Source organism: Homo sapiens, chromosome 20, assembly GCF_000001405.40.
Source record: "Homo sapiens chromosome 20, GRCh38.p14 Primary Assembly".
Lineage (NCBI taxonomy): Eukaryota > Metazoa > Chordata > Mammalia > Primates > Hominidae > Homo > Homo sapiens.
In genome coordinates, this window is record NC_000020.11 from 34,186,173 (window position 1) to 34,198,899 (window position 12,727).

General features: G+C 43.9%; 1 protein-coding gene across 2 annotated transcripts in view; it reads left to right on the top strand.

Annotated features, from left to right (window-relative positions):
- The window catches only part of ASIP (agouti signaling protein), an 82,852-nt gene continuing 70,445 nt past the window's right edge, over positions 321–12,727 (top strand). Inside the window, exon 1 of one of the 2 annotated variants that reach the window (XM_011528821.1) lies at positions 321–389. The gene's annotated coding sequence lies outside the window, so the exon portion shown is untranslated. Of the gene's footprint in view, positions 390–8,389; positions 8,589–12,727 lie in introns of those variants that run through there. The other variant, NM_001385218.1, reaches the window with a different exon arrangement.

Below are 12,727 nucleotides of genomic sequence, written 5' to 3' on the forward strand. Positions count from 1 at the left end.
AAATGCCTTTAGTCTCCACAATTTAATTTTTGCACCGTAATTTCAGGCTGCTCCTGATTAGAAATGTGATAGCTCAGGTGCCATAAGCAAAAGAACTCACACCAAGGAAACCCTTGCTGAGTTGTCAGCACCCTGGGTGGTAGGAGTCCTGAGAGACAGAAGGTCATGGAGCAGGAAAATATAGAGTCCTCTTAGACATGAAAGCACTGAAGATCTGGGAAGCCAGGCAGAGTGGTCAGAGGGATCGCCCCACAGCTGGAAGTCATTAATAGTCCGGGGTTGCATAAAAAGCAATGTGAAGGGAGTGAACAGCTTTGGTCAGGCTACCAAAGTCGCTGGTAGCCTGGACCCTGAGTTCACCGATCCTTCCTACTCAGTAATATCTACAGGTAAGTCCAAAGGGAAATTGCTTTGGGAATCTGACAATTTAACTCTGCTCTGCTGATACAAGGATGTCATCACCAAAGCTGGAAAGAAAATGGGCCACTGATGGTGACATGATTTAATAATGAGGCCAGTTCTCATTTTTCTATTGGGAGCTTGGTAAGAATTCTCTAGACAGTAGACAATCCACAATTCACTTATATTTGACTTTGGAATTTGGGGTAGCTTTGGCAGCAGTAGGTTGTTTTTGTTTTGTTTTGTTTTGTTTTTGTTTTTGAGATGGAGTCTCGCTCTGTTGCCAGGCTGGAGTGCAGTGGTGCGATCTTGGCTCACTGCAACCTTCACCTCCTGGGTTCAAGCGATTCTCCTGCCTCAGCCTCCTGAGTAGCTGGGACTACAGGTGCGTGCCACCACACCTGGTGGCACCTAGTATTTTTACTAGAGACGGGGTTTCACCGTGTTACCCAGGATGGTCTCGATCTCCTGACCTCATGATCCGAAGCAGTAGGATTTAACTTCCTGATTATGTTTAACTTGGGTTGAAAACTGAAATAATTAGTAGTCTTTGGGAATGCCCTGATTGATCAATGAGGCACAAAGGAGAACCAATCAATCAGTCACTTAGAACTTGCCATCAGTGATCCACAAAGGGGTGTGAGAGTCATAAATAAATAATTCTGGTGGTAGTCCTAAATTGGTTCTTTTTTTTGTATTTGGTCATAGCACTAAACTAGGCTGGGAAGAAAGATTCTCGGGGCAGAATTCTGAAATCTTTGCCTTAGCTGTGTAACTGTTCAGAGAGGAATTTCTTTTCAACTTGTCTTTTCCTTTGGCCTCTAAAGTTCTTCTCAGAGAAAAAATCAATCCCCTGCTCCAGGCTAGGGCCAAGTGTGTAAGGTTTGTCAGTTTAATCTCTGTCCACAAGCCTAATCACTTTAAGCTGGCCTGTCCTGGGGCTGAGAATCTACTGACGGTGTTTTCGTCTTTCTCTTAGGAGGATCGTGAATTTCCTAAACTGTCTTTGAGAGACTCAGATATTTTATTTTATAAATGGCAGTGACAGATGTTATGTATCCATTGCTAATGTTATCTGTACAAAATCAAGAAGATATATTACAGTGGATACAAACCTAGAGTGCCTTTTGGATATGGCAGGTGAGGAGTGTTCCTTGATGGTTTGTTTTCAGTTCAGTGCAAGACACTCCTGAAGCACATCACTTACTATAAATGACCTTTAAGAGGAAAAGATACTTTGGAGTTACTCTATCACTTGAAAATGGGGCAGGACCATTACAAGAGTAAATATAGTTATTTATGAAAAGCCAGATCTCCAAGTCCAAAAGGAGAGAAATAACTATTATTCATATAGTTCAGTCCTTAGAACCAATTCTCCTCTGCTGTGTATGGCATTTCCACATCTTGTTTAGACTTCAGGCTGAGCCTGTAATTGTTTGGCTGTGGGAAATGAGGGAGTGTATTTCAGAAAACCCATCTTCCCCTCGCACTTCCAGGGTCCTATTCAGATCGACTTGTTCTGCTACCATTTTACCCATACCCAGCATCCCGATATTTATTGAGCATATTTATGTGTGCCATTCTATCCTAGTTCCCAAAGGGGATACAAAAACGAAATTATACGCAAGATGGTAGAGCATTTACACAAAATCGTAAAGGAGGTGAAGTTGGCCAGTTTAGTTTTTTCAGTTTACTTGGGGAACTCATTAGCCTGCTTTCAGCCCTTTTGTCTCCGAAAGCTTAGAACATGTACTGCTGGTGGTATGTGAGATGGTTTAAGTTAAACAGAAGATGACTTTAGGCGGTAGATGGACAAGCATAAGATTATCACATCATGGAAAAGTAATTTCCTTTTTAATTTGCTTTCAAGCCTGGATTCATCTAGAAGAAAGTCTCAGTGGGGGTTGATGTGTCATTAACATATTCCAAAACTTATTCCCTTTTAACATATTCCTTTTTAATCAAGAAAATAGACCTCAGAACTGGAGTGCTCTCCTGGTAACAGTAGTTATTTAGAATTTATTGACATTGTATTATTAATTTTTTCTAGGATTATATTCTGTTTATGAAAAATGACAGTAACATGCTATAAATTTTCCAATTTACACGAATGTATTTAAGCTTTGAAAAAGTTATTAGTTGATTTAAAGAAAAATATTGAGTAAATAATAATATAGCTGGGTTGGAGATATGGTTGAAATCCTGACATTGCTATTCAAATGACTGAAGTTTGGGAGACACTTCTTTCCCCCACCCGGAGCCCAAACAAAATTACTATTTGTGACCCATTCCTGCCCTCTGCTTTACCTAAACCAATTCAGGATCATGATAATGACCAATAATATAATAAGAACCATACTTCTCCCTATAAGCATTATGATAGGGCTCTGAGATCTTTAACCTAAAGAGTCATTTTAATGGTAGAAATTTCTAAAAAGACAGGATAATATATTTGTAGTAGATGAAACTGTCACAATAATGACACTATCGAGTGCTGTCATTTAGACTTTTTGAGTATTCTCTAATTCTCACAACGACCGTGAGGCATTTTTCAGATGAGAAAACTGAGGTTCAGGGAGGTTAAACAAAACCTCAAGCAATAAGGAGCAGAGCCACGGTCTGGTGCCTAGAACTTCTGGCCATGTGGGTAGCTTAACTGCTCCCCCTAAGGTTTGTTTTCTTTTTTTTGAGATGGAGTTTTGCTCTTGTTGCCCAGGCTGGAGTGCAGTGGCGTGATCTCGGCTCACCGCAACCTCTACCTCCCGGGTTCAAGTGATTCTCCTGCCTCAGCCTCCTGAGTAGCTGGGATTATAGGCATGCACCACCACGCCCGGCTAATTTTGTATTTTTAGTAGAGACGGGGTTTCTCCATGTTGGTCAGGCTGGTCTCAAACTCCCAACCTCATGTGATCCGCCCACCTCGGCCACCCAAAGTGCTGGGATTACAGGCATGAGCCACCACACCTGGCCCTGCTCCCCCTAAGTATTAGGCAAACCCTGGAGAAGCCACACGGATGAACAGCCTGAGGAACTCAAGGGAGCATGTGAATAGGTGCACAATAACACATTATAACACAGGGAAACTCTGAAATACTATGGGAGGAAGTACGTTCAGAGTAGGTGAGACCAACTGAAGGAAGTGGGGACTCTACCAAAGGAGTCACCTCATTGCATTTATCTCTGCCTTGCATTCTACCCCTCTGCCTTACAGACCTCCTTGTAGGGCCAGGTCAGGCTTCATGTCTCCCACCAACCCCAGTCACTCAGAAAGGAGCAAGTACTCTGGTTGCCATATTTCTGTCTCTGGAAAGGATGCCTGTCTTCCCAGTTGGGAAGACCATTCCTCAGCTCGGTCCGGTGGACTGCTGCCTGTAGGACATGCAGAGGCAGGCAGGCTGCATCTGCTTCTGGAGATAAGCTCCCGCTGCAGAGCTTTTGTCAGGTTGGCCACTGTCCCGCAACAGCCTTTCTAACCCAGCGCCATGGACCAGCTATGCTCTTCACCAATAGCCTAGGCAAGAGCTTCAAGTGCTCTTAGGAGTCATTCCGTGTGATGCTAACCTGGGGCTTCAAGCCTACCATTGGGAATCACTATCCCTTGTGACACTGTGTCCAGGCCCCACCTCCTGCCTGTCCGATAGATTGGATTTCTTGCAGTGTTGGCATCATCCCAGTCACACCTCGTTTTACCAGGTATTTTATAGAACCTCCCAGATGAGAATTAAGATAATGAGTATGAAAGATAATGAGTATGATAATGAGTTGAGAAATTCCAAAGCCCCAGAAAAATACATAAGATGATATCACCAAACCTTTCCGCCCACTCTAGAGTGTAGTCCTTGGAACTCAGCCCTTGTCACTATTCCCATTTTCCCTGGGTGATCTCATCTGTTCCCCTGGTTTTAATTACTACGTATATGATAATAACACTCCTATCTGCATGTCTAGTTTAGATCTCTCTCCTGACCTTTAGATTTTTATTTTGACAGATTCCTAGATATCTATATTTCAGTGTATTCCACAGATACTTCAGAGTAAACAGAACTCACCCCCTTCCTCACTAAGGCTTCCTCTTCCTTCGGAATTCTGTATCTCATCAAGGTTTCTGATGAGTCTCCAAAGAGCTCCAGCCGGAAGAAACACACACATCCCATGCAGTCTTTTCTCCATACCAAGTGCAGAGCTGAGCTCTGGTGTGGCCACCGGGAGGCAGTGCAGACTTGAGGATGTGTTTCGCAGCAAGGCTTCAGGAGCCCCAATCCTGAGCAATCCCAGTCCTGCATGCAACTTCTGCCCAGCTTCCTTTCCTCTCTTTTTCAGGGAATGTCTTTGTCTGAGTCCACCATTGACTCAGGCTCCTATTGAATTGGTAAGGGAGGGACTGGAATGGGGCCCAAGTGCAAAGCTCCTTCACAGAGCAGCATGCACCCCCATATGCACATATCCTGGAACACTGCCTGCCTTCAGCTCCTGAGAGGCACAGTTCAACAAATCAAGCTGGAGGCTTCTTTGAGCCAGGAAACCTAAAAGACTTTAAAGGAAAGTGTGGAGCCTGGTGTTAAACAGGTATTACTTTGTTCCCTGACATACAGGTGGTGGAAATGTCACATTTCTTTAATTTTCTAAATTAAATACCCTTGGCTTCCATCCAACAATGAGTAGCAAATCCAATCTTGGTCCTTTATCAGGAGCTTACACATACTGGGGGGAAGATGTCTCTTAGATGAGGGTGCCTGTCACCCCTGGCGCTCTTTGCCCAAAACAATTCTACGACCCTTTCTCCAGGTTTCTCTATGGCATGAAGACCTCTGCTGAGGCTCGGGATCAGCAGTGCCTTTGCTTACCTCCCTGAGCACACTGTCATCCCCATTGAAGGCCCTCTGGTCCCAGCGGTCTGTGGGAGGCCTGGAGCAGGACCTGGCCACAAAAGGAGGCTGCAGTGCTCCTCAGCACCATGCCTCAAAGCCAGGCTCAGGAAATTCTCCTCTGCCCTCTTCTAATTCTACAAATCCTTCCTCCTCTCAGACAAAACAGTTTTATTGCCTCTAAGACTGGGTTAATTTTTTAAAACAAAAGCTTGTTGATTTCTTTCTTCGCTTTATTTCCTTCCCTCCCTTCCTTCCCTCCCTCTTTCTTTCCTTCCTTCCTCTCTCTCTCTCTTTTTTTTTTTTTTTTTTGACAGAGTTTCACTCTTGCTATCCAGGCTGGAGAGCAATGGCACAATCTCAGCTCACTGCAACCTCTGCCTCCCAGGTTCAAACGATTCTCCTGCTTCAGCCTCCTGAGTAGCTGGGATTACAGGTGCCCACCACCATGCCCAGCTAATTTTTTCTATTTTTAATAGAGACGGGGTTTCACCATGTTGGCCAGGCTGGTCTCAAATCCCTGACCTCAGGTAATCCACCTGCCTCGGCCTCCCAGAGTGTTGGGATTACAGGCGTGAGCCACTGTGCCTGGCCTGATTTCTTTCTTTTTTTTTCTTTTTTGGAGATGGAGTTTCGCTCTTGTTGCCCATGGTGCAATGGCCCGATCTCGGCTCACCACAACCTCTGCCTCCCAGATTCAAGTGATTCTTCTGCCTCAGCCTCCCAAGTTGCTGGGATTACAGGCATGAGCCACCAAGCCCAGGTAATTTTGTATTTTTAGTAGAGACGGAGTTTCTCCATGTTGGCTGGTCTCAAGCCCCCGACCTTAGGTGATCCACCCACCTTGGCCTCCCAAAGTGCTGGGATTACAGGCATGAGCCACTGCTCCTGGCCTCTTTCTTTTTTGAAACAGCGTCTCGCTCTCTTGCCGAAGCTGGAGTGCAGTGGTGTGATCATAGCTCACTCCTAGGCTCAAGTGCTCCTCCTGCCTCAACCTCCTGAGATTATAGACATGAGCCACCACACGCAGCTCAATTTCTTTTCTTTGTTTCTTTCTCTTTTTCCTTTCCTTTTTTTTCTTCTTCTTTTTTTTTTTTTCCTGAGATGAGAGAAAGCCTGATCTCCAGAACAAAAAGCCCTGGTTACCCTTTGGGATTGGGAGTGTGGAGGAAGATAGGAATGGTCTATTCTTTTGTGAAGAACAGAAATGGCAGACACTACAGAAAATCAGTCAATTTCTCAACCAGGTTACCCTCCCTGCACTAAAGTGGTGCTTACCTCATACCTTGTTGCCAAAGTTTGGGGCCTGCCTCAGATTGGTGATGCATCAGATTGGAAGTAAGCAGCAAACTTGGATCCCCCAAGCTTTAAAACATTTAAAAAAATTTTATGGATACATAATAGTTGCACATTTTATAAGGTGCATGTGATATTTTCATACATGCATAAAATATATAATGATCAACTCAGGATAATTGGGATATCCATCACCTCAAGCGTTTATCATTGTGTTAGGAATACTCCAACTCTACGCTTTTATTTTGAAATATGTAATAAATTATTGTTAACTATAGTTGCCCTTTTGTGCTACCCAACACTAGATCTTATTCCTTGTATCTAACTGTATTTTTGTACCCATTAACCAACCCCTCTCTTTATCTATCTGTATAGTCGACAACTTCCAGCTTCTCCAGAAGTGGCAAATAACTTTCCAACTGGGTATCCACACAGAAATATGTGAGCATGCTTACATGGCATGTGCTGCCCCACCTCCCCCTGTGAGGAGCTTGGTTACAGCTACAGCATTTCTACAACCTCTTTAAACCAACTTTGTAGTATCCGGCAGCAAAGTATCATTCCCTGACATTCGAGTCATTGAGTCTCTGAAGACTTGGAAAAGGGATAATAAGCCAAATCATTCAGGAACCAGGGGGTCCCAGAGAGGTATGTAATAAATTTCATCCAGATGTTGGAATTGGCCTTTTTTTCTTCCATCTTTTTTTTTTTCCAGTTACATTAAAAACCAAACACATTGTTGTTATCTTATCAAGCAAGGTGGGAAGAACATTTTTTCCTTTATTTCTAGGTAAGCCTGCACAAAGGATTGAAAGGGCTAACAGCATATGGGTAATACAGGATCTGCATTATTGGACATCTGAATTATTGGAGAGTACTTTGTACATGACAGAATTATCCAGATAGGTAAATGGTGTTGCAAACACTTCACCAAAATCCAACTAGAGACCTCTAAGTTCATTTTAATGTACAGCTTCCAAACTGTTTATCTGCAGTGTAGGCAGCCCAGTCTGTTTTAAAATCCTTCTAGGAAACTATGGCCGTGCAAATCAGTCCAACAAATAGCCAAATGTGCATGTTACTCTGTTAGAAAGGGAAAAGTAGATGCAGGCATAAGTGCAAATTTTTATCTCATGGCATCCGAGGAACCTAAATGTCTGGACAGCTTTGTTGTGCCATGTGGCTGACAACCAGGTTATTAGATAACTCACAAAACTCTTCTCCAGCAGCCCAGAGTTTCCTGAGGTTACCTCTTCCCATGGGACTAGAATGAAGAAAAAAGAAAAACAGATATCCCCAAGCTGCAGCCACATTTAATGTCCCCTTTACCCCACAATTGAACTCCTGCTCCCTGGAGGAAAACCCTAAATAAATATACCAGTGGCAGCAGAGAGGGATTATTTTTGATAGTGGCTGCTCCTGACTCCAAGCTGTGGGCACTGAACTAGAAAGCAGTGCTGAGAGAGAGAACCAGGAATAAATGACACTGGGAAATGGGAAACCCAGAGAAGAAAAAAATCTTACTTTCTTCCCCTGAAAAAGATGCACTTTGCAAGGTTCATCTTTTCATCTTTTAATCTGGTGAGTCTCGAAATTTTTAGTCTTTAGACTACTTAAGCAGAACAAGAGTCTCACCTATTTACTAGATTAAATAAACAAGCAAGCAAACAAAAAACACCCTTGAGGTGTTTTTGCTGAATCCCTTGTGATTATTTATAGCTCCTTTCAAAAATATTTGCTTTGGTGCATTTAAATTTTATTTCAAATCTGCAGTGGAAAATCTGTTTCAAAGGAAAAAAAAAAAAAAGAAAGAACCACCCAACACGCTTGCATTTCGACTCAGCCCGCTGAACGCCTGGAAGAAATTTTGCAGACCCACCAGAGATCCCCAGATTCCACTTGTAAAACCATTGATCTAAAAACTACGTCTTGACTTCAGAACACTTCTTTTGATCTGGAATTATCTATTATTGACCACAGAGAGCAGCCACTGACGATTTCCTGGAACAGGGCCCTGTATAGAGAGAGGTGAGCTCCAGGGAGGGAAGAAGAAATTTCTTTCGCTTTCTGAGCGGGTGCTTTGGTACAGTACAATATCTATGCTATAGTAATATATCTATGGGCTTGACTTCTTCTTCTCCTCGTTTTCCTCTTTCTCCATCCCCCTCCTTCCTCATCTCCTTATTTTTTTTGTTTATTTGCTTCTTCTATAGTAAAACTTTCTGAAAGCCAATGTGCCTGGATGATTTTTGCCTGGTACATTCTGCTAATTGGAGTTTCAGAATCACAGTTTCTTGCTTGGGTGCAGAATTTTCAAAAGTGTTTAAGTGCCTAAATTATTGTTGTAGTTGCTGGCCACTGCCCATGCCTTGTAGACAGGCAGCTGAGAAGGTACCAGAAAAAAAAAAAAAGGCTGCAGGTCTGTACCCTTCACTGTACCAGAATGCAGAGCCCTACTGAGCTGTAGGAATGCAGAACCCTACTGAGCTGCTCCTCATGGAAGGAGCAGCCATGTTGTACTGAGCTGACAACACGGGCAATGGAAAGAGCAAACCCAGGGCGTAAATGGAACCAGGCCCTGGAAGCGTTTGGTTGGGAGTCTCCCAACTGAGCTGAGCCCTGAGAATAAGATGGTTCCTTTGGCCAAGTGGCTCTGTGAAAATGAGGAAGAATCTGATCCACGATGAAGGTAAGGAGTGCATCTGTGTCTCCTCTCCTCAAGCCACAGGGATCTCATTAAGGATCAGGGCACTTACGCTGATGGCTTCACTTTAGGCACAACCCTCAGCAGGAGGGCCCCATGCAAAGATAATTACCAGGAATGGTGGGCCCATTACAGCCCTTTGATTTGGTCACTCCAACATACTGTTAGACAGATGTAAGAAAGCTGACCGACATTTACCTAAAAGTGACAAATTGCAGGTTGAAGGATTTGGTTTCAGCCTCTGGCAGGTTGGGGCTTTGAAAAAACAGAATATACCAGACTCTTGCTTTGGAGCTCTTGCAAATTCAAGTACATAAGGACAGATATAGCCAAAATTGAGACAATTACCTTTTTTTTTGTTTTGTTTTGTTTGTTTTTTTTGCTGGAGTAGCTCGAGTGAGGAACAATTACTTTTAATAGTCTATTTTACTGTCCAGCGCAGTAACCCCCATAACCCCCATATATTGTAACTGGCTCTGGGTTGGAAGGCAGTCTGGGAAAGGGCCTGTTTCTGCTTCTTTGAGACAGCCTGCAGGAAACTTCAAAGTTAAAATAACATAAAACTTGCCATATCTTGGTTCCACTATGAGTGTTTCTCTTCCAAGCACTTCTGCCTATGGGTAAGCATTCTAGCAAAGATGCCATTACAGTCCGGCACGGAGAAATAAAAGGAGCCAAGAGTTGGGCAAAAGAGATAAGGAACCAGAGCCAGAACTCTCATTGAAAAGGGAGATTTCTTTTTTTTTTTTTTTTTTTTTTTTGAGACGGAATCCCGCTGTGTCGCCCAGGCTGGAGTGCAGTGACGTGATCTCGGCTCACTGCAAGCTCTGCCTCCCGGGTTCACGCCATTCTCCTGCCTCAGCCTCCCGAGTAGCTACAGGCGCCCGCCACCACGCCCAGCTAATTTTTTGTATTTTTAGTAGAGACGGGGTTTCACTGTGTTAGCCAGGATGGTCTCGATCTCCTGACCTCATGATCCACCCGCCTCGGCCTCCCAAAGTGCTGGGATTACAGGCGTGAGCCACCGCGCCCGGCTGAAAAGGAAGATTTCTTATAGAAAATAGGAAACAAAAAGTTCAGATGTCTGGGAGGAGATGCGGGCGGGACGTCATCTTTGAAATAAAAAAGAGTACGATTCATAGGGGAAATGTACACAAAGAGACTGTGAGTTGAGAAAAACCTGACTTGTGTTGGGGAGATTTATTCAGATTTTGGGAAGAAATTGGAAAGAACTATAAAGCTAGAGTCTGTAATTAGTTCCCATACCTGCGTAGCCGGTTCTGAGGGGTGAAGTACTCCCTAGAGCCCTTAGAGGTCTGCATTTTGCTCACAGGGCAGCTGTCTTGAGGAAAAAGATGAAGAATGGGAGTGTTATGGAGGGCATACGCCCCTCTGATCATCACCACAAAGGTAGGATCCAGCTATAAATTGCCTGCTAGAGAGTCACCAGTTCCGTCTCCATCTGTTCCCCAAACTTGTGCTTATGGATTTGACATTCAGGTATTTTTCAGAAGAATCAGCTTGAAGCAAAAATACTGAACTTAAACATTCTTTTTTTTTTTTTTTTTAAATTCAAACCCACAATTTGAATCTTGTTTAAAAGATGGAAGGATGAGAAGTGTGATTCTCTTGGCTTGTTTAGAAATAGCCATAGCAGGTCGGGTGCAGTGGCTCACACCTATAATCCCAACACTTTGGGAGGCTGAGGCAGGTGGATCACGAGGTCAAGAGTTTGAGACCAGCCTGGCCAACATGGTGAAACCCTGTCTCTACTAAAAATACAAAAATTAGCCAGGTGTGATGGCGGGTGCCTACTCTAGAGGCTGAGGCAGGAGAATTGCTGGAACTCAGGAGGCGGGGGTTGCGGTGAGCAGAGATCGTGCCACTGCACTCTAGCCTGGGCAGCAGAGCAAGACTCCGTCTCAAAAATAGAAAAAAAGAAGTAGCTGTACTAGACGGGATCCCAGGTCTTACGCATTTTCACTCTTCCTTCGGGTTAGCCTCCTCTCAAGTGCCTTCAGGACTTGTTCAATACAGTCAGTAATTGGGCTTTTAGAAAGAGGAAAAGTATTTATGTAAAATTGCCTCCTTATGTCCTGTAGCTACACCCCGTGTGCATCCAGGGAAGTGTACGCAGTGACCACTGAGTGGGTATCCGCTTATTTCATGGTAGAACTGACTTAAAGCAGATACCTAGTCCTTGGCATTTCTATAAGTTAGGGACAAATTTCTCATCCTCAGCATTATTATAAATTAGGGACACAGAGAAAAACTTGCTGGCTCCTAGTGAAGGCATTCATTGCTTGGAACCCAGACTCCGCAAGGTCATGCAGCCTGACAACTGGCTGTAGTGCACCAAGCTCATAATCAGGAATTAAGAGACCAGAGTCAGGCTTGCATCTGCGTATAACTACCTGTGAGACTTTAATCTACATATTGACCGCCTCAGGGGTTCCATCTTCCTATGAATCAAATGGGAAAACAAAGACTCACCTCCTCTACTAGCAAGAATTCTTGTAGATACCATGACAGGTTAAAAGTATTTGCCACAGCTGGGGAAGAGAGAATGGGGTCAGACCCTTGATGTTGTGGTAGCTGACTTTTTTACTTGATTGCTTAATTTTTTTTTTTTTTTTTTTGAGACGGAGTCTCACTCTGCCACTCAGGCTGGAGTGCAGTGGCGTGATCTCAACTCACTGCAACCTCCACCTCCAGGATCTGCTTCTGCATTTCCTCAATGGTAAATAAATTCAAGCGATTCTCATGCCTCAGTCTCCCAAGTAGCTGGGACTACAGCTACATGCCACCACACCCAGCTAATTTTTGTATTTTTAGTAGAGACGGGGTTTCACCATGTTGGCCAGGCTGGGCTTGAACTCCTGACCTCAGGTGATCTGCCGACATCAGGCTCCCAAACTGCTAGGATTACAGGCGTGAGCCACCGAGCCCGGTCATTGCTTAACGTTTTAAATCCTCATCTTCCATTTTCCTGGGCTCCTAAATGGCCTGGATACACTTTTATTTTCTTTTTTATGTATTTATGTATGTATGTATTTATTTATTTTTCAGAGACAGGATCTCCCTCTGTCACCCAGGCTGGAGTGCAGTGGTGTGATCATCCTTCACTGCAGCCTTGAACTCCTGGGCTCAAGTGATCCTCCCCCTCAGGTTCCCAAGTAGCTAGGATTACAGGCACATACCACCATGCCCAGCTAATTTTTAAATTTTTTGTAGAGATAGGGTCTTGCTGTGTTGCCCAGGCTGGTCTCTAACTTCAAGTGAACCTCCCACCTCAACCTCCCAAAGTGCTGGGATTACAGGTCTGAGCCACCATGCCTAGCCCCTTATTTTCTTGTAAGTTTTTATTGATTTAAAATACAGTTACAGAAAAGTGTTCATATCGATGAATTTTCACTATGTGAACACTCCCAGAAAACTAGAATCTAGATCTAGAAACAGAGCA